Source organism: Homo sapiens, chromosome 5 (assembly GCF_000001405.40).
Source record: "Homo sapiens chromosome 5, GRCh38.p14 Primary Assembly".
Classification (NCBI taxonomy): Eukaryota; Metazoa; Chordata; class Mammalia; order Primates; family Hominidae; genus Homo; species Homo sapiens.
In genome coordinates, this window is record NC_000005.10 from 14,970,622 (window position 1) to 14,992,988 (window position 22,367).

The 22,367-nt window shown below is 41.4% G+C and overlaps 1 long non-coding RNA gene across 4 annotated transcripts; it reads left to right on the plus strand.

Moving 5' to 3' along the window:
- Positions 1–290: 290 nt before the first annotated feature.
- Positions 291–22,343, plus strand: LOC107986376 (uncharacterized). 4 transcript variants are annotated; one of them, XR_001742499.2, is made up of 3 exons: positions 291–420; positions 5,940–6,123; positions 22,113–22,343. It is a non-coding gene; the product is annotated as an uncharacterized LOC107986376 (long non-coding RNA). The 4 variants fall into 4 exon arrangements; XR_001742500.1 differs by lacking the exon at positions 22,113–22,343 and adding an exon at positions 7,844–7,928 and having other exon boundaries at positions 327–420; XR_001742501.2 differs by lacking the exon at positions 22,113–22,343 and adding an exon at positions 4,445–4,515 and having other exon boundaries at positions 327–420; positions 5,940–6,937.

Genomic DNA, 22,367 nt, shown 5'->3' on the forward strand with positions numbered 1-22,367 from the left:
TTTTTGAGACAAAGTCTTGCTCTGTTGCTCAGGTTGCAGTGCAGTGGCACAATCTCAGCTCATTGCAACCTCTGCCTCCTGGGTTCTCGTGCCTTAGCTTCTGGAGTAGCTGGGATGTGCCACCATGCCCGGCTAATTTTTGTATTTTAAGTAGAGATGGGGTTTCACCATGTTGGCCAGGCTGGTGTCGAACTCCTGACTTCAGTCTCTTAAAGTGCTGGGATTATAGGTGTGAGCCATTACGCCTGGCAAAGATAATTACTTTGAAGGGATTCTGTTGTCTCCAAGGTAACTAAACTCAAGCTTGGTCCACCCATCAACAGGATTTCAGTTTCAGAGCCACCTCTGGGTCTGCACCTCCCCTGTGGGGCCTACTGTTTGGCCTTGTGCAGTGCTTTGGATCTCTGCTTTCCAGATCAGGTTTGGAAATCAGCTCCATAGCGTGAACAGCTGCTTTCCAACTGTACACGCTATTGTGGGCAGATTATCTTTTCTTTGCTAGCTGTTTCCTCTGCCTGTAAAGCTCTTTCCCCAGAGTAAAGACCTGGACACAGGAGCATGCCCGGCTTTCAAAGAACAACAAGGGGCAGTTGTAGATAGTATACAAGTTTAAGTCATCAAAATCCAAAATGCGGGCACATTTAATATCATTTACATGTGTATTGTAATGTCTTCTCTCCTTACTAATTCTTAATTACAGGTTATCTTATTTACTGAAAACTCCAAAATCTTTATTAACTTATATGTTTGGCAATGGCTAACTCAACCTATAACTCTCCCCTTTAGTCTGGTATTCATAATATAATTTTTATTGCCTCATTTATAAACAAACACAGGAGGCCAGACACAGTGGCTCATGCTTGTAATCTCACCATTTTGGGAGGCTGAGGCAGGAGGATTGCTTGAGGCCAGGAGTTTGAGACCAGCCGGAGCAACATAGGGAGACCCCATATGTACTAAAAACAAGAAAATAGCCAGGTGTGGTGGCATGCACCTGTAGTCTCAGCTCCTCAGGAGGCTGAGATGGGAGGATCATCTGAACCCAGCAGTTTGAGGCTGCAGTGAGCTATGATACACCACTGCACTCTAGTCTAGGGGACAGAGGAAGACCCTGTCTCAAAAAAAACCCAAAAAAAACAAAAAACAAAAAAACAGAACAAGACACAACACAAACTAAAACAAACCCCAAAGGAAATTATTACTGATGAGTTTGCCTTTAGGTTATGTGCTAATGATTTGTAGAATTCCACATCTTGATATGAGGAGAAATAAGTAAAAATCTATCGATTTAAATAATGCAAGTGAAGTGCTAATTTATTTCTATAGTATTTCTCAATGCTTTAAGCAAATGCCACAGTTCTATGAAAGAGGGACTTCGATCACTAAGTGCTGTGGTGGAGACACATTTCCCAATCTCCTTTGCTGTTAGGTATGGCCATGTGACTGAGTTCAGCCAATAGAATGTGAGTGGAAGTGAGTGATGTCACTTCCAGGCCTAAGCCATAAAAATCTCCCAGGTGTTTCTCCTTCAAGGGCAACCTCAGAGAGAAAATACGGAAGACAGTGGGGCCACAAGAAAGAAGAGGCATAGGCCCCTAAATTATTGCTTGAAAGAGAGTCTTGTTGATCAGAAACATTCAGAATTTACATGAACAAAAATAAACCTTGGTTATATTACTCTACTGAGATTTGGGGGTTTATCCACTCATCACTGGTAATCTCGTAGTTAATACAACAGTTCTAGGTTTTTTGCTTAGATTTAGTTCTTATTTTCCGTTTCCAGACTAGCACCGTCGTTAAGACCATGAGCTTTGGAACTAGACAGAGTTTGCATGGGATCCTCTTACTAGTTACATAAATCTTTTAAATTTTCAGAAACTCAGTTCCTTCATCCATAAAATGGGGATAGAAAAATCTTCTAGTTAGGATTGTTGTGAGAATTAAATAGGAATATTTTTCACAGTGCCTAGCACATAATAAATGAACAGTGATGGGATAGAAATTTTATTTTATTTTTATCCTTCTCACATTAATAAAAATGATTCTGAATTAGTGTATTTTAATTATTTTCCCTATGATTTCAGTTTTTTTTATTGTCAGGTAATGTGCTATACATTTCCATCTACTTGATTATTTTCTTCTTCTTTGCCTAAACATTCAACTCTTCACTTGGAAAAAAATTCATCCTTCAGGTTCTAAAAAATTATCACCTGTGGTAGATTTTAGTTTCCCAAAATACAACAGTGATATTTCCCATCTCTTCTAGAGCCTTATAATTTCTCCATTCAGTGGCTGACAGGACTTTGTGACCATGTGAATCTCATGTGGCAGAATTGATGTTGTGTGACTTCTGAGGCTAGGTCACAAAAGGCAATGTGGCTGCCACTAATATTCTCTCTTCCTCCTTTTTAAATTAATTAATTAACTGGTTGTAGAGACAAGATCTCACTCTGTTGCCCAGGCTGGGGTGCCATGGTACGATCGTAACTTACTGCAACCTTGAATTCTGGGCTCAAGCAATCCTCTTGCCTAAGTCTCCAGAGTAGCTAGAACTATAGGCACATGCCACCATTCCTGACTAATTTCTATTTTTATTTTTTATAGAGCTGGAGTCTCACTGTATTGCCCAGGCTGGTCTTGAATTCCTGAGCTCAAGCAATCCTCCAGCCTCAGCCTTCCAAAGTGCTGGGATTATAGGCATGAACATTGTGCCTGGTCTAATTTAATTTTTTTATTTAGAGACAGAGTCTGGCTCTGTCACCCAGGCCAACATGCAGTGGTGCAGTCATAGCTTTCTGCAGCCTCAAACTCCTGGGCTCAATAGATCCTACTGCCTTGGCCTCCCAAAGTGCTGGAATTACAAATATAAGCCACTGCTCCTAGACATCCCCTCTCTTTTCTGCTTTCTCCCCCTACACGAAACTTAATTAACATCCAGCCATGTTCTGAGGGAGCCCAGGTAACAGGAAGATGCTGTGTATAGGTGTTCTAGCTAACAGTCCCAAGTTATGAGCGTCAATCTCCAGAAATATGGGTGAAGGAGCCTTCAGATGATTCTAGTGACCAAGACTTTGAGCAGCCCCAGCTGATGCTGAGTGGAGCAGAGACAAACCAGCCCCAGTGGGCTCTGACCAAATCGCAGATTCACAATGCTCAATCTCATTGACTGTCAGGGAAATACAAATGAAATTTACAATGAGATACTACTACAGGTCCACCAGAATGGCTAAAATTTCAGGGCCAACAATACTAAATGCTGATAAGGATGTGAAACAACTGGAACTCTCACCCGTGCCACAGTTTTTAGACTGTAGAGTTGGGAGTCTGAATTCATACAACCACTTTTGAAGACTGTTTGGCAGTATCTGCTAAAGATTAACATACACATATTTTCTAGCCCAGCATTTCCTTTCCTAGTACATATTCAACAGAATTGTGTATATCTGCACACCAAAGACATAAATATCCTCAAACTAGAATGTATCCAAATGTCCATCAATAGCAGAATGGATTAAAAACTCATAGTATAGTTCCACACTGAAATGCTGTACAGCAAAAAAAACCTACAACTATTGCAACAATATAAATAAATCTCAAAAATGGTATTAAGTGAACAATGCCAGACATGAAAGGGTCCTATTGTATTAATATAATGTTAATATAAAATATAAATGTATAAATTTGAAGTTATTAATATAGTCTAATAAACTTCAATATGTGAATTTGAAGTTATTGATACAGTTTAATAAACTTAATAAACTAGTTTTATAAAAAAGTTTATAAAGTTTAAAAACAGGCAAAACAATTATTGTCTTAGAAGTCAATAATGTGATTACCTTCAGAGAGGAGGGAGGACAGAATGATTGGTAGGAGGCATAGCAGGTCTCTTGAGACCCTTCAGTGTTCTAGTTTTGACCTGGGTTGTGGTTGCTCAGGTGAGCTTGCTTTGTGATCATTCCGGGAGCTGTACACTTGGAACTTCCACACTTTTCTACATGTGCATTATGCATCAACAAAAAAATCTAAAAATGTCAACTAGAAATAATAAATATTTGGAAAAGTTAAAAAAAAAAACAAATTTGGAAAAGTTAAAAAAACCAAATTGTAGGTTCAGGAGAAAACTAAATGTCATCATAGTCCTAAGCTACTAAATTTGGGGGTGGTCTATGAAACAGCGATAAATAGCAGAACACCTCCTCTGTGAAGCCATCCTTATGACCTCTTGGCTTGCCTGCTTCCTCAGGACTAAAAGATTTTCTCTGTGGTCCCTTAGCATTTTATTTATTTTGCTAGGACTTAGAAGTCTGTGAAGTCTTCGAGGGCAAACATCAAAGCCTATTCTTTTTTGTATCACCTGTAGCATTTAACTCAGTACCTGCTATAGCGCAGGTACTGAGCAAATGTTGATTAAAGGACACGAGTTTATTTTGCCTTTCTTTGTCAGAGCTGTTATGCCACAGATAGAAATTTCCACTCTGTATTAACTTCTCTTGTGAAATGGCATCTGGAACACGGGTAAGTCACAGGAAGCTCAAGGATGGTGATGACCGTCCCAGAGTTTGTAATGAGAGTAGATGGGAAAGCCAATTGAAAGACTTGAAAGAATGTCATTCTTCATGAATGTCTAGCACTCATTAAGCAGCATTTACCTGTCATTCCTGGTGTTCTGTAAAGCAGCTGTAAAACTTGATCATTGCTTCCAGAGAAGCTAAACGTTACATAGCCCTGATTACCTTTATCAGAATATCCTTTGTAGTTTGTAGAAAGAGGTCTTAACATTTTTATAAGTTCTCATGGCTTTAAATGATGCTTTTTTTTTTTTTTTTGAGATGGAGCCTTGCTCTTTTGCTCAGGCTGGAGTGCAGTGGCGCGATCTCGGCTCACTGCAACCTCTGCCTCCTGGGTTCAAGCGATCTCCTGCCTCAGCCTCCTGAGTAACTGGGATTACAGGCACATGCCACTGCGCCTGGCTAATTTTTGTATTTTTAGTAGAGATGGGGTTTCACCATGTTGGCCAGGCTGGTCTTGAACTCCTGACCTCAAGTGATCCACCCACCTTGGCCTCCTAGAGTGCTGGGATTACAGGTGTGAGCCACTGTGCCCGGTCTAAATATGGTCTTTTTAACTAGATCAATAAAACTGTGCCGCAAAATGTTCTGATACCCTTAGAAAGCAAAATTCTCCTTCTGCATATGTGTTTTTTAAGCTCTATCATTAGCAGCTTTGCTACAAGCAAACTTGTATTTATTTTAAAAGCTTCAAGGTTACTTATTTATCATGAATGGAAAGATTACTTAGCTGAATGTCCAGAGACTCAGTTTCTCATCCCTGCTCTGCCATTGGCTGGCTGTGTGATCTTGGGCAAGTCCTTTGTTTTTTTTCTCCCATTTTCTCATTTCCACATTTATGAAATGAGGAATGATGGCCTTCGGGGCTTTGTCCAAGTCTAGCTCCACCATTCCATGAGCAAAATGATAGCAACATCTTTGTAGATGTGTAGGTGGAAACTCAAAGTGAGCTATAAACTTTTTTTTTTTTTTGAGACAGAGTTTTCCTCTTGTCCAGGCTGGAGTGCAATGGCGCAAACTTGGTTCACTGCAACATTTGCCACCCTGGTTCAAGTGATTCTCCTGCCTCAGCCTCCCAGGTAGCTGGGATTACAGGTATGCATCACCGTGCCAGGCTAATTTTGTATTTTTTAGTAGAGATGGGGTTTCACCATGTTAGTCAGGCTGGTCTCGAACTCATGACATCAAATGATCCACCCATCTTGACCTCCCAAACTGCTGGGATTATAGGCATGAGCCACCGCACCCAGCCAAGCTTTTTGATCCGTAGAAAAATGTTGGTGATGTAGGGAATATTAGGATTTTGAAATTCTGACTATCCTCTCAACAGCTGCACAAGACTAACCTGTTCATCGTCTGTTATTTTTGTAGATTACAACAATCCATTTAACTACTATGAAACGGTTCTGGAGTGACACTGTTGTGAAGAGGAAATTCCAGCGGAGCTACTGGAGCAAGCCTTTGATCTGCCATATTGAACTCCTCCAGCTGTGCGGATTCACTGCACTATAAGAAAAACATTTCTACGACCACTTTAAAGCTAAACTCATTTCAGGTTTGTGCTGAAGAGAGATTGAGAAAAGGCTAAAAGGCTAGCCCAGGCTTCCATTTTGAGACAGCAAGAGTACCCAGCAATATGACGGACGTAACTAGTGGCAAGCAGGATTGTGTGGGTTTTTTCTTTGAAGATCTTCTGTAGTAAAACAGAATGGAACTTGTCTATTTATGACATTTTTCAATTTTTCTGGGCAGTCAATGAAACATAACATTACCAACATCATTTTCTCTCACCTGATCTAAGAGATTTTTCTTTTTGTCATTTTTTAATACTTCACCCGTTACAAAAGTTTTTCCACCTCTTACATTTTGCAGTTACTAATATTAGGAAATGCAATGCCAATTTGTTTGCAAGCCATGTAAAAGGAACATCTTAACAGGATAGCAAATGATTAAATACATGGTATATTGTGTGGCATATATTTGGTGGTTTTGTGACCTGAAATGATCTAATGTCTAGTGTTTAATCTTATACCATCAAAGTAAGGTCATCTTTGCCCTATTTCTTTATTGCTCTTTGTGCTCATATATGTTTATTGAACATTTGTGTGTATTTAGCAGTGACAGGGATGAAAATAGTCTGAGGTTTAGGGAAGCATTATTTTTCAGGCTTCAAGAATAAAACCGATGTTTTCCAGGGCACAGAATGCCTACCTGTGCCTAGGTGATAAGGTCTCCAGCACAATGAGCTCTTTTGTTCTGGGAAACAGGCCCAGGCTTATTCTACTACTTCCCCGTTTTACAATCTTGCTAAAGTTGACCTTTACCTATCTTGTGGTGCTTTTTCAACAAAAATAAAATTCTTAACTGGGCTCATTTTTATGACTGACTATAAAACCTCCCTTTCAACTTCACCTGTTAATAAAGGGAACCAGCTCTTCCTTCTCCTGTATGCTTGGGAAAAATAGAGTAAAAACAATAAACAAAATAGTTACTGGAAATTTTAGACTAACTGAAAAAAAAAAGGTATTGAGGTTAGTCTTACAATGTGTAAGATTCTCAAATAGTCCTTAAATATAATCCTTAATTTAATTTTTAAAATGCTGTGTTTTCTTAAACCACTTCTCTCTCTTTCACATCCCCTCTACCACCACCCTGCGGGTCTTTTGCAATAGATAACTTTCCCTGGTAGAATGTTCGTAGGATTCACTTTTGATATGGGTTATTTTTTGGAACAATGACAGATTAATTGATGGGTGGTTGGGGTAATCTTTACTATTTGGTACTGCTATCTTTAAATACTTAGTAGATAATTGCTCTGATTAAATTTGTCTGTTAAACACAGTAGCTTTGATAAACATTGCAAGAGGATAAAGTAATGCAATCCCCTTTTAATACAAAATATTTTATTTGAATGGGTTTTTAATCAATAAAGAGCAATTTAGTTCTCAGAGATGCATGGGCAATTCCCATTGATTTGTATGAAATCCTTGGATTCTTTTTAGAGTGATGGATGGTTTAGTGTGGCTGTTTAAAAATAAAATTTTATTCTTGGGCTGGAGACTCCATGCTGGAGAGAGATGGTATATAATGGATGAAACTGGTCTCATGGAAGTCCCTGATGCTTCATGATATTTAGGGGACCAAATATCACTGAATGCTTGGCTTCTGTTTTGAGGCTGAATAACTGTATTAATCTGTTTTGCGTTGCTATAAAAAATACCTGCTACTGGGTAATTTATAAAGAAAAGAGGTTTATTCGGCTCACATTTCTGCAGGCTGTACAAGCATGGCAACCGTATCTGCTCAGCTCCTGGTGAGGCCTCAAGAAGCTTTTCATCATGGTGGAAGATGAAAGGGGAGCAGGCATGTCATATGGTGAGAGGGAGCAAGAGAGAGAGCGGGGAGTTCCCTGACTTTTTAACAAGCAGATCTCATGTGAACTCATTACTGCCGGGAGAGCACCAAGTCATTCAGGAGGATCCTCCTCTATGACCCAAACACCTCTCGCTAGGCCTCACCTCCAACGTTGGGGATCACGTTCCAACATGAGATTTGGAGGGGACTAACATCCAAACTATATCTATAATGTCTTCCAGTGATTCTCTATCATGTGCACTCCAGTGTTCCCATACCCTAGACAGTGATACATTTTATTGCTGTGAAACTTCTAATGAGTTATTATATGTAGGTGCTTAGAATGCTGTCTGGCACAGAGTAAGTATTATGTAAGTGTTAGAAATAATTGTTACTAGTTATTCCAAGGCCAACTCCAGCCTTAACTCATCAGCCAGGTGAGATGGAAATGGAAGCATGGCTTAGGAAAGAAAGTGTATCAGTTAACATTAGCTGTCTAACACGGAAATATTAAATGCAATGGTTTAAAAATAGCGACCATGTATTTAGCTCATGGGTCTGTGGATCATCAAGTTGGACTGGGCTCAGGTTGGCAGTTTTTGTGCTTTTGGCTTTGCTTAACATAAACATCTCTGGTCAGTATAAGCATAAACATCTTTGGTCAGTGGCCAGGTCACCTGGTGTCTGACTAGTCTAGGATGGGCTCAGGGGGATGGCTTGTCTTTGCTTCACAGGTTAGCTTGAGCATGATGTCATGGTGAAGCCAGGAGAGCAAGTCACAAAGACAGGCTTAGATTGGCCAAAGAAAACTCCAAGTCCAACCCAGATTCACTGGGTGGGGAAATAAACTCTACCTATTGCAAAATCATGGTGGAAAATGAGTGGATAGAAAAGAGTGAAGGATCTGGCCATCTTTACACTCTGCCACATCAGTGGCTGCTGCGAGAGATGAAGTGGAGAAGGAATTAGAGGACTGGGATGTGCATTTGTGTATTCATCTATATGTACAAGTACATGCCTTTTGTGGATGAGGAAAGAATACAAATGACTCCAGAGTCATGATTTCCGGTGACTTAGGATTTCCTATTTGCACCTCCCGTGCAAATAGGAAATATAGCAGGAGAAGCATTTACCTTTGAATGTATAGAGTTTAAAACAGAAATGACATGTTTAACAGAAAGTATCCAGTAAGGGGTCCAGAAATCCACAGAGAAACCAGGCCTACACATAAGATATTTAGGATGTGAACAGATGTAAATAGATGTAAACAACAACAACTACATGTTGTTTTCCTAGCCAACATGTGGTTAGAGAATTACGTGGTTTACCTTTGAGTCTCCTCTTAGCGGACACACTCTTTCCAACTGTTAGTTCATGTGATTCGAATGAGCCCAACCCTGGCCATCTGCCATTCAGGCCTGGCCAATCAGCACATTCCAGCCCTCTGGTCATTGGGATTGGTTTAGGAATGGCATTGGACCAACTTGGTTCTAATAAAATGAAATCCTGGCACTTTTGTTGAATACATTGGAACTTTCTTTTCCTTCTACAAGAGCAACTAAGCTGGAGGGCCATAGAACTGCTGGAGGTCGTATTATCAGTAGAGCAGTAGAGTCTGCCTAGGAGGGAAGCCAACAGAAACAAAAGTATAGCAGAGAGAGAGAGGGAGAGAGAGAGAGAGAGGGAGAGGGAGAGACAGATGCAGTTTAGATCCCTGAATCCAGTTATACCTAAAGACATATCTCCTTACAAACTTTTCAATTTTAGGAACCAATACATTTTCTTTTTCACTTGAACTGGTTTGAATTGGGTTTCTGTCATATGTTGCTAACAAGAAAAGAGAAAAGAATATAAACTTAGAAGAAAATTGCATTTTGTGGGGCTGAAGGAAAGTTAGAGTAAGTAATAAAAGCTCATGGAACTAAGAAATCCAAGAAGATGGAGACTTAACAAAAAGGAATAACAGTGTTGACATTGTCACATGTCAGGGAGCAAGGGCTCCACAGAGAGTCTTGACTTGGGGGCCAGGACACCTATGAGGGAGTGCTCTTGGCAGCAGGGTGGAAGAAAGGAAGGTGCCCTGCCAGAAGCTAAGGAAAGAGTGGGCAGTTTCCTTTGCCCATAAAAGGGCCTCGTAGTCACTCAAACTTGAAACCTTGGAATCAACTCTTCCTCCTCACTCTGCCACAGCCCACACAACCAAACAGTCATCTTGGCCTACAAATTCTCCCTCCACAATTGCTGTTGGACTCCTACCTTCCTTCACATTTCCACGCCATGAGCTGGCTCCAGGTGCCTAGTGTTCCTTTCCTGGAACCTGGCCTCTTTGCATCTCCCGTGCCTGTTGTCCCTCCACCTCTGTCATCCATTCTTTATTCTGCTGCCAGATTATTTGTCCTAAGGCTCAGTTCTGATTGTGAAATAGCCACACACAGTGGAGTCCCTGGATGGGGAACCCAGCACCAGCTCTGACAGGCTATGGGATCTTGGAAAAGATTCTGATCCTCTCTAGGTGTGGGAATCTAATCTTTGAAGGGAAGGGTTGAACCAAGCTCTGACATTCATTGCCTCCCCATTGCCTCTAACATAAAATTCTAGCCCTAACCTAACTCTTTTAGCCTTACCTCCTTTAGCATACATATAACTCACCTAAAATGAAATACTTCTCGTGCCTGAATGCCCTCACCTTGTACCTTCCTACTTCTGTTCATTTTACCTGGAATCATTTGTCTTTTCCTACGGAAAGCCTATCTGTCCTTGAAGGCCAAGTTCAAATGCCATCTGTGAGGCTTTCTTGAACTCTCAGCTGAGAGCCTCTTACCCATGTTCTTGGTCAGGGCACTTTGCTTTGTTTCATTGTTTGTGCATGTGTGCTGCCTCCTGCCATATTGTCAAGGGCTTGAGGATCAAACTTCCATCATATTCATTGAGGCAGCCCTCAAGGCATCTAGCCGAGTAGCTAGTTCTCAGTAAATGACTGAGTGAATGAAAACACAAACTTTCTTGCTGGTCCACTCAGCCATCCTGCAGATCCTCCCAAAGCATGTGACTGCAAAATCAGATGTTGTAGTTCTGCTGAATAGAATTATGTGATAGTTTAAAAAGGGCCTTTTGAGTGTAAACCAAAGTATCTGAGACAGGTCTCAATTTAAAGGTTTATTTTGCCAAAGTTAAAGGCCATGGCCTGTGACACAGCCTCAAGAGGCTCTGAGAACATGTGCTCAAAATGGTTTTATTATAGGTTGCTTTTATACATTTTAGGGGGACAGAAGTTACAGGCAAAGACATAAATCAATACATGGAAGGTGTACATTTGTTTGGCACAGAAAGGTGGGACATCTCCAAGGGTAGGGAGGCTTCCTGCTCACGGGATGATTCAAATATTTCCTGACTGGCAGTTGGTTGAAAGAGGTAAGCTTTGCCTGAAGAAGTAAAATCAGCATAAAGAAATGCTTGGATTAAGATAAGGGGGCGGATCCCTTGAGGTCAGGAGTTCGAGACCAGCCTGGCCAAAATGGTGAAACCCCGTCTGTATGGAAAATACAAAAAAATTGCTGGGCATGGTGGCAGGCGCCTGTAATCCCAGCTACTGGGGAAGCTGAGCAGAAGAAACATTTGAGCCCAGGAGGGGAGGCTGCAGTGAGTGGAGATCACACCACTGTACTCCAGCTTGGGCAAAAGAGTGAGACTTCATCTCAAAAAAAAAAAAAAAAAAAAAAAAAAAAAAGATAAGGGGAATGTGGAAGCCAAGGTTCTTGTTAAATATATTTTGGGATAAAATAGTTTGATTTCCTTTAGGGCCGACTATCTGTCATGTGATGCTATACCGGAGTCAGGTTGGAATTGGATGTCTTATTGCTACAAAGAATCTGTTTGATCAGTCTTACGATCCCTTTCAATGTGAATGGTGGTCAGTTGTGCCTAAACTCCAACGGGAGGCATGTCCAACACCCCCTGCTTCCTGTCATGGCCTCAACTAGTTTTTCAGGTTTCTTTGGGATCCCCTTGGCCAAGAGGGTGTCCATTCAGTCCGTTAGAGGGCTTAGAATTTTACTTTTGGTTTACATGAGCTCCATGGCCCAAGTATGACCCCACTGGCCCAAGTATGACCCCATTCCTGCCTTTGCAAGGTGTGTGTCAGCAAAGTCGGTGTTGGGTGAAAGTGTTATGGAGGTCCCTTCTATGGTTCCACACTGCTCCACATTGAGACCAATCAAGGGTGGCCTTCTCCTTAGTGTTTGCAAGATAATGATGGCGTATTCTGAATAGAACACTTTGGTCTCCCTCTGACACAGCTCTTGACAATGACAGGAGATGGTGTAAACCAAAAATAAAATTCTAACCTCCCCAACTGACTGAATGGACCCCCTCTCTTGGCCAAGGGGTCCCAAAGAAACCCGAAAAACTAGTTTGGGCCATGACAGGAAGCAGGGGGTGTTGAAAATGCCTCCCTTTGGAGTTTAGGCAAAACTGACCAGGATTCACATTAAAACAGATCTTAAGACTGACTAAACAGACTATTTGTAGCAATAAGATACCCAACTCCAACCTGGCTCTGGTACAGCATCACGAGACAGATAGTTGCCAAGAAGGAAATCAAACTATTTCATCCTGAAATATATTTCTTTGACAGGTTTTGGAATGGCCCTGCAAAGCCAGGAAATTTCTGGGGGAAATTTGCATTCTATAGAGAATTTCCTTCCCTTACTAGGCCTTTTTCAGAGAGTCTGACACTGTTTAAGGTCCAAAAGAGACATTTATCATCTATTCTCTCTGAATCCTATGACTTAGAGGCTTCATGCACCTAACAAGAACCTTGGCTTCCACATCCCCTTTATCTTAACTCAAACATTTCTTTATGCTGACTTTACCTCTTCAGGAAAAGCTTACGCCTTTCAACCAATTACCAATCAGGACATCTTCGAATCTTTCTATGAGCAGGAAGCCCCTCTACTCTTGGAGATGTACCTCTGTTTTGGGCCCAACCAATCTACACCTTCCATGTATTGATTTATGTCTTTGCCTTCTGTCTCCATAAAATGTATAAAATCAACCTATAACCAAACCATCTTGGGCACATGTTCTCAGAACCTTTTCAGGCTGTGTCACAGGCCATGGCCCTTATATTTGGCTCAAAATAAACCTCTTCAAATATTTTGGAGAGTTTTGCTTTTTTTTTTTTTTGTCGACAGTGCAAGTGCCAGTCCAGAGGAGTAAAGCAGAAAGAGAGACAAGGAAGAATAGGAGAAATGACAGGTGGAAGTGCGCAGTATGGAGATGCCAATGTTCCCCATAACCCTTTTTATAGCAAGATTATCAACTCCAGATCTGTAAACTTGTTGACATGTTGTGGCGAGACTGGATATTGACACAGCCAGTGCCCATAGCCAGTAGCTAGAATTATGTGGCTGTCTCCTACCTTCAACAGTGAACCTTGAGACCTTCCTCTGGAATGCTGGTTTTTCTAGGGGGCTGAGGGGAAACAGACAGCTGGACTTGGGTGAACCTTCACTTCCTCCTTATTATCCTCCCCTCTCCGCCCACAGCAACTTAAATCATTAAAATCCCATATAATTAAAATTTCATCCAAGTTATACCAGTTATGTTTGCTGGCCACAGTGGAGTGTATAAATATCTTAGAAAGGCATAAAGACAGAGGCTGCTTCCTGCCTGTGGTTTCCCCCTTGCACAGGATCTGCCTGCTACCGTGTATGCCATCAACAGCCTGGGGAAGGCTGAGCTCGCAGTTCCCACCAGCCCTGCTCTGACCAGACCTTTACTCCATAGTGTTATCCACAGGGCTTGGGTCTCAGGGTGACAGGTTCTTGGTGGGGGTGAATGCCTTTGTTCTGTTCATGTAGGACTTTCTTCTCTCTGTCCCTGTCATTCTCTCCCTTTCTGTCTCCCTGCCGCCTCCATTTAGAATTTGGTTTTTGATTTTGAATATATTTAAATTAAAATAGCTCAATAAATGTTTTATTCTCTCATTTAACTAGAGAACAGGAGTTTATCTTCCTTCCTACCCATCCACTTTGTCAATACAATTTGTATTGCCATTTCCTTGCTTAAAAATCCCAATTACCTTGATCTGATCATTACACATTGTATACATGCCTCAAAATATCACACGTACCCCCAAACATGTACAACCATGATGTTTTAATTTTAAAAATTAAAAAACCCACGGTGTACATTTCTACCACAATGGTTTTGTGTTACTTGCAAAATGGGGTTACAAGTCTACTACAGTTTCATTCGTTGCGAATTTTGAGCACATGTCACATACTCTGGGCTGTTAGGAGCTGTCTTGTCATAGATGTTCTAGCAGCTCCAGGGAGTCACCAAAGGGTTGAACCACAGATGGGTCCCTAGTGTGGGGTTCTAAACTCTGTGACTGGGACCACCTTGTGTTATGGGCAGTCAGTGTGCCTCTAAGTCATGTATTATTATACTTGGTTGGGGGTGGGTATCATCATGTTGGTTGTGACTTTGCAATGGCATCACCTCAATTGAGGTATGTGTGACAGCTTTGGGATTAGCATGTGTCTTGGTTTGGGTTCCTATATAGCAGACCTTGAGACAAGGATTTGAGTGCCAGTAGTGTATCTAGGATATATTCCCATGTTAAGTGAGTGAAGAAGCGAGACAGGAAGTGATCGAAGCCACCAAAGGATGTGTTATCAAACCAGTTACCACCACAAACAACAGGAGGTCAATTTCTCTGGGGGAGCTCTGGGAAGCAGTGGGGAACATGCCTCCGAATTATCCCATTTGAGGCTCCAGGAGGCTGGGCGTCATCTGACACATCCCCAGACTGTCCTGGTTGGGGAGAGTTCCATGGGTCAGGGTGCTCTTGGATGTCCAGCTTGCCTGCATGTTGAAAGTCAGATAAAAGACTTCAGGTGGCATTGCTGATATTTGCACTCAGCAGCCTTTCACACACAGGGCTGAGGGCTATGAGAATATGACCAAGGATTGATAGATACGTTATGGCGAGAAAGATCCCTGTTTAGTGCTTATAGAGCACCCTGTACAGTTGATTCTTGTTATTTGCAATAGTTAGCTTTCTATAAAGTCACTATGAACACCAAATTAGCAAATACTGAACCATTGCTTCCAGAAGATGTACAGGGTTAGGTATTGGCGAGCTTGTGGTCACATTTAGTTAACTGATCAATAGATCACATTATTTTATAGGTTTCTGTTGAAAGACAGTTTATTTAGTATGCAGTATTAATTCATTAACATTGGCCTCGCGCCAACTGCTCTACAACTCATGTCTGAACGAATCTCATCTAACACATGCATTTTCTCAAGGCACATTGCAGACTTTTTGTGCTTAGGAATACTAGACAGCACGTGAACACTGTGCCTGTGTGGCATTTCACACAACAAAATCACCAACAAAATGCTCAGAAATATGAAAAATGTGACACTAAGGCGACCATGAAAAGGAGACTTGTGTACAGTAGGAGAGCTGAAACCAGAAGGCACAGTGGCACCTGGTTGGACCTTAGCTGGACATGTGCATTGAGCTGCTCAAATATTTTGCTGGTCTGTGTATGTCTGCAAATGACCATGAAGGTGCCTCAAGGACTGGTTTTGGAGTTGCAAATACATTTTAGGGAGAAGTTCCCTAATTAGAAAAATATGAAATCTGTGAATAATGAAGCTCAACTGAATTTTTTTTTTTTTTTTTGAGACAGAATTTTGCTCTTGTCGCCTAGGCTGGAGTGCAGTGGCGCGATCTCAGCTCACTGCAACCTCCACCTCCCAGGTTCAGCGATTCTCCTGCCTCAGCCTCTTGAGTAGCTGGGATTACAGGCATGCACCACCATGCCTGGCTAATTTTTGTATTATTAGTAGAGACGGGGTTTCACCATGTTGGCCAGGCTGGTCTCAAACTCCTGACCTCAGGTGATCCACCCACCTTGGTCTCCCAAAGTGCTGGGATTACAGGCAGGAGCCACTGCGCCCAGGCAGCTTTATTTCACCTTATGACAAATATGGTAAAAGCTACCACAGTGCTAGGTGGAGCCTAGAAAACTTGGGCCTGTGAAATATGGCCTTGCGTTACCATGAGGCTAAAGAGGTGATTAAGGCAGCCTGTGCAATCAGCCAGAAGTCTGTCCAAGAGTCATCAGTCCATAAACAGTCATTTAAAACACCTGTAGGTTATGCTACTTAACAAAGAAATCTTTTGAATCAGAATAATTTGGCTCTGGAAAATTTGGATTTTCTTTATTTACATAGACATATAGAGGTCAGCTACTGAATTAGATGAATATTCATAGGATTGTTGAACTAAACATATTTTTAGTTACTTTTTAAATGTGTTGTACATGGAGAAAGGACATTAGAAATATGACCTGGTTTGGGGATAAAAAGCTGAAACAAGAGATGTTAATTTGTATAAGTAAGAGAGAAAATAAGATATATTTCCTGTGTATCACTATCTTTACAGGTAAAAATAAAAATGGTTATAGAAACATGTACATTCTAAATGTGCAGGTGGAGCACCTGAGGTCAGGAGTTCGAGACAAGCCTGGCCAACATGGGGAAATGCCGTCTCTACTAAAAATACAAAAATTAGCCAGGTGTGGTGGCAGGCGCTTGTAATCCCAGCTACTCGGGAGGCTGAGGCAGGAGAATCACTTGAACCCGGGAGGTGGAGGTTGCAGTGAGCTGAGATTGTGCCACTGTGCTCCAGCCTGGGAGACAAGAGTGAAACTGGGCCTCAAAAAAAAAAAATTTTTTTTTCTTTAAAATGTAAGCTAAGCCAATTAAGGCTGAATGCTATGTTTGGTGGAAGCAATGGGAAGTTTTGGGTAAAGGGAATAGCTTTTGTGACTGACCTTGGCCATCTCTAAATGGTATGTGGTCAGGTAAAGTTGGTTAGAAAGTTAGAGAAATGGGCCAAGTGTGGTGGCTCACGCCTATAATCCCAGCACTTTAGGAGGCCAAGGTGGGTGGATCAACTGAGGTCAGCAGTTCGAGACCAGCCAACATGGAGAAAGCCTGTCTCTACTAAAAATAGAAAAATTAGCCAGGCATGGTTGTGCGTGCCTGTAGTCCCAGCTACTCGGCAGGCTAAAGCATGAGAATCACTTGAACCCAGGAGGCAGAGGTTGCAGTGAGCCAAGATTGCGCCACTGTACTCACTCACTCCAGCCTGGGCGGTGGAGTGAGACCCCGTCTCAAAAACAAACAAACAAACAAACAAACAAAAAAACAAACAAAAAAGGAAATTAGATAAAGTGTTAAAAACATTTCGTTTCCATTTTCTTGTGAAGGATTTTCATTGCTTTTGTCTGATGTCTTTCTTCGTATAATTTTAGCTGGTGCTTGGTTACATATAGGAAAACTGAAGATTTATTTCTGGATAAATTTTGAGGGTAATATAATAACAATTATTCTATGATGATAATAAGTGACAATAAACATCACCCATGAGTTTCTTTTCATAAAATCTCACTAAGATACAATCTTCCGTAGTATTTCAAAATCAATACTTGCATTCATTCATTCATTTCATCCATCCATCAATCATATACTGAGCACCCACTTTGTGCCAAACAGCTGCTGGGTACTGAGGATACAGAAGTGAACTAAACCTGTAATAATCCCTGCCCTCATTGAGCTTATGCAGTAGCAGGAAGAGACAGATAATGAACAAATATATATAAAACATGGTATATCAGTTGCTGGTAAGAGCAATAGAAAACATAGAGCAGGGAAGGGAGATGGGACATCTTTTTCCTACCCCTTCAGAAGTCTCCCTTTGACGGGGATGTCCTCCCTTTGACTCGAGGCACTGCTACTGAGACCAGTTCCTTGTAGACTTTGACCAGCTATCCACCAGGGCAATCTGGACAGTGCCTTGCCCTAGGCCTTGTCCTTCTTGCTTCCCGCTCTGGGACTTATCTGTGCTGAGCCTGGCACATTCACGGGAACTGGCTCTGTACTCAGATACGCACAACCCCAAAGTGCAGGCAGTCACCTAGGAGCCCCCTTGAACAATGGAGGGCAGGAAGGGGTTGGTAAATGCTTCTTGCTTTCTTCTCCTGGAGGGACAGCTCTGAGATACATTTCATAGGGTCCCTCAGAAGGTGCCTGGAAGGATCGATCATTGTGTGCAGACAGCCAGCTGGATTGCACATCTGTGATGGCCCTTCCCGTCTTTCCTCTTTCACTGGTCCAGGCCTGCCCCTACTCCCTGTGATCTCCTTTTCAAATCAACCCCTGCATGCAAGCCTTCACCCAGGCTCTGCTGTGGTGGACACTAGACCAAGATGGGGAATGCAGTGGTTGGGATGATGTTGCACATATAAATATGAGGGATCAGGCCAGGCGTGATGGCTCATGCCTGCAATCCCAGCACTTTGGGAAGCCGGGTCAAGGAGGATCTTTTGAGGTCAGGAGTTCGAGACCAGTCTGGCTAACATTGGTGAAACCCTGTCTCTACTAAAAATGCAAAAAAAAAAAAAAAAAAAAAAAAAAAAAAAAAAATTAGCCAGGCGGGGTGGTGCGTGCCTGTAATCCCACCTATTTGGGAGGCTGAGGCAGGAGAATCACTTGATGCTGAAAGGCAGAGACTGCAATCAGCCGAGATCATGCCACTGCACTCCAGCCTGGGTGACAGAGCGAGACTCCATCTCAAAATAAATAAATAAAATAAACTTAAAAATAAATACGAGGGATCACTGAGAAGGTGCACTTGATCAAAGTTTCAAGAAAGGGAGATAGTAGTAGTCATGCAGATAACTGGAGGGAAAGCCTTCTAGGCAGGGGGGAAAATGGCACAGGCAAAGACCCTTTCATCAGTGTGGCTGGAGTGGAGGGAGAGGAGGAGAAAAAGGAGATGCAGACAGAGATTTGAGAGAGACCCGGGTCTCATCTCATGGGGCCATTTTTAGGACATGGGTTTTGTTCCAAGTGAGATAACAAATTTATTTTCAGATATTCTGTGTGTTTTGCCTATTTCATATTAATTATTTTATGTTTACATGGTACACTTGGATTTCCAATTTATAGGCAGGTAACTTGAGTCTTTTAAAAATATTGTTTGCTTGATGGGAGCTGTATGTTCTCATTCTCGTTTTGTGTCTTCCTTGGGTTGCTAATGAAGTACAGTTTTTGGGGATTGTACCACAGATATTGATGTACTAAATTGATGTTTGTTGATTCTGGAGTATGATTCTTCACTTCATTTATTTAGCAAGTATTTATTGACTACCACTTTGTGCATGGGAAATTAATGGAAATTGAAGGAATGGTGTGGATTAACCTCAATACTTTCTTTGAAGGTTTTTCATTGTGATAAAATATACACAAAATTTTCCATTTTGACCATTTTTAAGTGTATAGTTGAGTGGAATTAAGTACATTCACAATGTTTTACAGCCATCACTGCTATCTATTTCCAGAGCTTTTTCATTATCCCAACTGCCAGAAGCTCTGTACCCATTAAACACTAACTCCCATCTAGCTGCCCCTGACAATGACTCTCTCTTTGACTAAACTTTAGTTGGGCTCCTCTAAGCCATCTTCTCAACTAGGCCTTGACCTTGGCCTCCATCCTTGTCAGGATGGCCTTGCCCAGTTTTAAAAAGAATCCTGCTAAGTCAGCTTATCAGGAACTCTCCACTCTTGATATCTGATCCCTCTTCATAGCTGATCAAATTCTTCATTCCCCATTATCCTCCAGATAATATTGGATCAATCTGGCCTGCCTTCAGCAAGAATTCTGTTAGATCAGTTTAGCAAGAATCCCTCCCTACTCTTGACTCATTTTACTAATTTTCTACTAATTTTCTATCCACAGGCCCCTATGTATCCTTGGTGTCGTCAGAATTGAGCTCAGTTCTATACTGAGGTTTCTTTTTCCCTCTTGCAATAATTCCTGAATCAAATCCTTTTAAAACTATGGTCAGCCTCTGGTTTTCTATAATATCTCCAGCCTTTGGTAACTTCTCTTCTACCTTCTGTTTCTATGAATTTGCCTATTCTAGGCACCTTATTGTCCTAGTCCATGCTGGCTGCTGCAACAAAATACCATAGACCCGGTAGCTTATAAACAACAGAAATGTAATTCTCACAGTTCTGGAGGCTGGAGTTTCAAAATCAAGATCCAGCGTCTGGCGAGATCTTGTTTCCTGGTTCGTAGATGGTGTCTTCTTGCTGTAACCTCACATGGTAGAAGGGGCACACAAGCGCCCTTGGTCTTTTTCATAAGGGCAGCAGTGCCATTGAAGAGCACTTCACTCTCATGACCTAATCACTTCCCAAAGGTCCTGCCTCTTTTGATCATCCCATTGGTGATTAGTTTTCAACATATAAATTTTGGGGAACACAAACATTCAGACTGTTGCATTCATATATGTGGAATCATATAGTGTTTGTCCTTTTGTGTCTTTTTCACTTAGCAGGATATCTTTAGGGTTCATCCATGTTGCTGCATGTATCAGAATCTCATGCTTTTCTAAGGCTGAATAGTAGTTCACTGTATGTATACACCACATTTTGTGTATCCATTCATCTGTTGATGGACACGGATGGGGCTGTTTCTACCTTTCAGCTATTGTGAATAATGCTGCTATGAACAATGGTGTACAAGAATCTGCTCAAGTAAATGCTTTCAATTCTTTTGGGTGTATACCTATGAGTAGAAATGCTAGATCACATGTGATTCTATGTTTAACTTTTTGAGGAACTGATATATCCTTTTCCACAGTGGCTGTATAATTTTACTTCCCCACCAAAAATGCACAAGGGTTCCAATGTTTTCACACCTTTGCCAATTCTTATTTTCCATTTTTTTGATAATAGTCATTCTAATGGGTGTGAAGATATCTTATTGTGGTTTTGATTTGCGTTTCCCTGTAACTGATGACGGTGAAAATTGTTGCATGTGCCTATTGACTATTTGTGTATCTTGTTTGGAGAAATATCTATTAAATTCCTTTGTCCATTTAAAAATTTTATTGTTGTTATTGAGTTGTACTAACATTTTTTTTTAATGAGAAATACCAGTACTTCATAGATAGTAAATTTAAAAGGGACTATGATGGTGAATTTTATGTGTCAACTTGCTTGGCTCATGGGGTGCCCAGATATTTGGTTAAGTGTTATTCTGAATGTTTTTAGAAGAGACTGACCTTTAAATTGGTAGACTTAGTAAAGCAGGTTGCCCTCCCTAATGTGGGGGAGCCTCATCCAAACAGTAGAAGGCCTGAATAAAACAAAAAGACCAATTCTCCCCTGAGGAAGAGAAAATTCCTCCTACCTGACTGCCTCTGAACTAGGACGCTGGCTTTTTCCTGCCTTTGGACTTGAATGGAAGCACTGGCTATTCCTGGGTCTTGAGCTTGCTGGCTCTTAAAATGGAACTAACTACCCCATGGGCCCTCCTGGGAATCCAACTTGCAGACTGTGGGTCTTCAGACTTGTTTGTCTCTATAATTGTGTGAGCCAATTCCTTATGGTAAATCTTTCTACATAGATAGAATCATCTATTTTATTGGTTCTGTTTCTCTGGAGAAGCCTAAGACAGAGACTCATTTATTGAGATCAATTGTATTTTCTGTTCAAATCCTTTTTGTTATAGAAATAATTTGATACTCATAGTGAGTATAAAATACAATCTGCATGGGTTATTATGAATTAAAGTTAAGTAAATATTTTCATTTGTCTATTTTTCCACTAGTACATTTTTACTTTTTAGGTGACATTCTGACTTTTGTCTCAGGTCCACCTAAGTGGTTTGGGGCAGCAGTTGAGTGATGGGTATAGAGGCAGGCCAGTCCTTTTTGGGGCCTGAATGTCCTAAATGTCAGGCATGAGCTTGGCTCACTGCAACCTCCACCTCCCGGGTTCAAGTGACTCTCCTGCCTCAGCCTCCCGACTAGGTGGGTTTACAGTCACCCACCACCATGCCCAGCTAATTTTTGTATTTTTAGTAGAGATGGGGTTTTACCATGTTGGTCAGACTGGTCTTGAACTCCTGGCCTCAAGTTATCTGCCCGCTTTGGCCTTCCAAAATGCTGGGATGACAGGTGTGAGTCATCATGCCCAGCTGAGCAACTATTTTCTAAGTTATTATAGGTTAATTGCTTTTTTGAGAAATTAGAAATTAAACATTTAAGTTTTAAGCTCCTCATAAAGGCCATTTTCATCTTATTTGTTCTGCAGGATTGCTTTAAATTTAGCAACATCATCTCACTGGCAATACATGAGTTGTATTTCTTGAATACAGGAAGCTACATTCACTTCAGTGAAGGCTTGACGTCATCAGGCAGCATTAGCATCACCTGGGACTTTTCAAGCCTCACCTCAGACCTACTAAATCCGAGTCTGCATTTTAAGAAGCTCCCCAGGTGATTAATCCCCACAATAAAGTTTCAGAAGCATTGATTTAAAGGATCCACGTGTCCTGTTGTGTCCGGA